The sequence below is a fragment of the Homo sapiens genome, chromosome 19, assembly GCF_000001405.40.
Source record: "Homo sapiens chromosome 19, GRCh38.p14 Primary Assembly".
NCBI classification, from domain to species: Eukaryota; Metazoa; Chordata; class Mammalia; order Primates; family Hominidae; genus Homo; species Homo sapiens.
Genome location: NC_000019.10, coordinates 28,949,170 through 28,952,067, shown reverse-complemented (window position 1 = coordinate 28,952,067; position 2,898 = coordinate 28,949,170). Strand labels below are relative to the sequence as shown.

General features: G+C 44.2%; 1 annotated feature.

Moving 5' to 3' along the window:
- Nucleotides 2,002–2,564: an enhancer, noted in NCBI's record as "NANOG-H3K4me1 hESC enhancer chr19:29440411-29440973 (GRCh37/hg19 assembly coordinates)". NCBI's record gives its function as "activates a minimal SCP1, AML or CMV promoter by ChIP-STARR-seq in primed H9 embryonic stem cells {active_cell/tissue: H9 hESC(primed)}" and the evidence as "EXISTENCE:reporter gene assay evidence [ECO:0000049][PMID:30033119]".

Sequence of the window (2,898 nt, the reverse complement as noted above, 5' to 3'; positions counted from 1 at the left end):
TTGTGCCTTTCAGGCACAATATTTAACACATTTCATTGAATCTAGTTCTTTTCCTTTATAATGCAACCATCTGAAAGTCTATTGAGATGGAGACTTATGCATGCCGCTCATTGATCAATTCCATCTCGGCCTTAATTATATTACAGTGATGGGACCAACATCTTTGTTACTAGTATCAGCAGCTTCATTTTTCTGTTGTAATTTATTTTTTGAAGCATAAAATAACAGACACATAAATAGTGGCACAAACACTGGCTTACTGAGCTGGACCTTTAGGAGGCGGGCATTGCTGCACCTGAGAAAGCTACTAACACTTGTCAACTGATGCGCAAAAGTCCAAATTCAGACTGTGAAACATTTAATTCTACCAATATATAATTAATGCAAGTCAAACACATGAAAGTTAAAGAAGACTGTAATCACAACATTTACATTTTTTCCAAAAGAAGAAGTAACTCAATTTACGACAATAAACAATCCAGGCCTCAGAGTCTTGTACATTAGAAAGTTGGACCCCGCCCCACAAACACACACACACAAACACACACACACAGGTGTAGTTTAGAAGACAGACGTAGGTGTAAATGTTTTTACTAAGGTTTTCATTTGCCTGGGTAAGCTAACATACAGAAGGAAATGTTTTCTGATAGGTAATATGTATTCTTACCCTAAATAAATTATTATTATTTATATATTTTTTAAAAGCAGGGCTTACCCACGGATGAAAGAAGGTTAAAGTTGAGATTCGTTCTCCAAAATGGCATTCCTTCTGTTTGAGTTTTGGTGGGTACCTCACCAATATAGATGCCAACTATTTCCATAATCCGTAGCAAGTTGCAAAATCACCCGTTTTAGTTCAGGTAGTACTTGCTGCTTTAAAAAAGAAATCCCCACATCTCGAAACTTAAAATAAAACTTCATAGCCTGGCATGGTGGCTCTGGCCTGTAATCCCAGTGTTTCAGGAGGCTGAGGTGGAAGGACTGCTTGAGGTCAGAAGTTTGAGATCAGCCTGGTCAACATAGCAAGACCCTGTTTCTGCAACAAATGAAAAAAATAACTAGGTGTGGTGGCGCATGCCTGTAGTCCTAGCTACTCAGGAGGCTTAGCAAGAGAATTGCTTGAGGCCAGGAGTTTGAGGCTGCAGTGAGCTGTGATTGCACCACTGCACTCTTGCCTAGGCAACAGAGCAAGACTCTGTCTATAAAAAATAAAATAAAATAAATTGAACTTACGACATCTGAATTTTATTCCTGGACATAGACCATCTCTTAACCCCTCTGGCCTCAGCTTTGGTATCAGCACAATGGGAACAGTATTACCCACCACCCGGCAATGTGGTCAGTGTAAAAGAACATAACAAATATCAGTGAGCCTCCCACCCTCTTATATCTGGAGTGGAATGTGCTTTCTGCGTGGAGTGCTGCGTGTCTCTGAAGTTCCCCACAAGCCATTGGCCCTCACAGACTTTGTTCTTCACTGTCATTTCCAAGTCTGTCCTGGTTACTGTTGTGTGTGGTGTAGATAAAGCACTTCTCATTTTCTTAGTATCTCGACTACAGGGGAAAATTATAGTCATTAACGCATACTATTAAATTATGTCAAACACTAGACTCAAAATTTCTGCTGAATACCAAGTAGGTTTTGGTTAAAAGGAAAATCTGATGTAGATTTAGGACTCTGCTTGGGATTGTCCCTCTAGCCTCCCCTCTGCTCTGCCCCATCTTCTTCAAGGTGGTATAATACGTTGCTGAATTTCAAAGGAGATAGGAATAAATAGCCCGTGGGAGATCTGGGCCAGGGGTAAAGTCCAACCTTGAACCTGGCAGTGTCAGACTCTGGACCTGAGTCAGGGGCTGCGGTGTACCAGCGCAGCTGTGGGAAGAAGCAAGTGCCCTCTTCCCATGCAGCCTGGCTGTGGCAGGTCTCCCATGGGCACCCTCGGGTCTAACCTTGCGGCAACCTTGCAGCCCCCAAATGCAAGCTCCTTTTAAAAAAGTGGCAGTCACGTGTTTACCAAAGTTTTCACTGGGAGACCCAGAAAAAGGTCTCTATCACTCACCGCCTGTCAGACAACTTCAGAACCTGCCCTGTAACATTGCAGCCCCCGTCATTCCCCTTTCCTGCTACCCGTCTGCCAGCCACTCAATTTCCCCTGGCCCCACCCCAACCCTGTATTAGCCACTGCCTTACTTTTCATTTATTTTTCTGTTGTGTGTTGGAAAATTCAGCTCTGTACCAACTCCTCCTCTCCTGCATCTCCATACTCATCACCCCCTCAGCAGGGGGCCCTGATGAGGGATTCACCTCCCCGCCATCTCCATAGCCATCACTCACTCAGCAGAGGGCGCCTGATGAGGGATTCACCTCCCTGGGAGGCAGCTGGGGTGGTAATGTACACATTTATAAGTGCTTTCCTTTCTCTCTATGGTACCATGGATGGCACAGTGTGAGGCTCTACGACTCCAGCAATGATTAAGAAGCAGGTCTTGGCCAGGCATGGCGGTCACACCTGTAATCCCAACACTTTTGGAGACCAAGGTGGGATCATTGCTTGAAGCCAGGAGATCAAGACCAGATTGGACAGCACAGCAAGACCCTGTCTCTACCAAACACTTTAAAAAATAAACTTTGTGAGGTGTTGTGCACCTGTACTCCCAGCTGCTCAGAAGGCTGAGGCAGGAGAACTGCTTGAGCCTAGGAGGTCGAGGTTGCAGTGAGCTGTGATCCCACCACTGCACTCTAGCCTGAGTGACAGTGAGATTTTGCTGAAAGAAAGAAAGAAGGAAAGAAAGAGAGAAAGAAAGAAAAAGAAGGAAGGAAGAAAGGAAGAAAGAGAAAGAAAGGGAGAAAGAAAGGAAGAAAGAAAGAGAAAGAAAGAAAAAGAAAGGAGAGAGAGA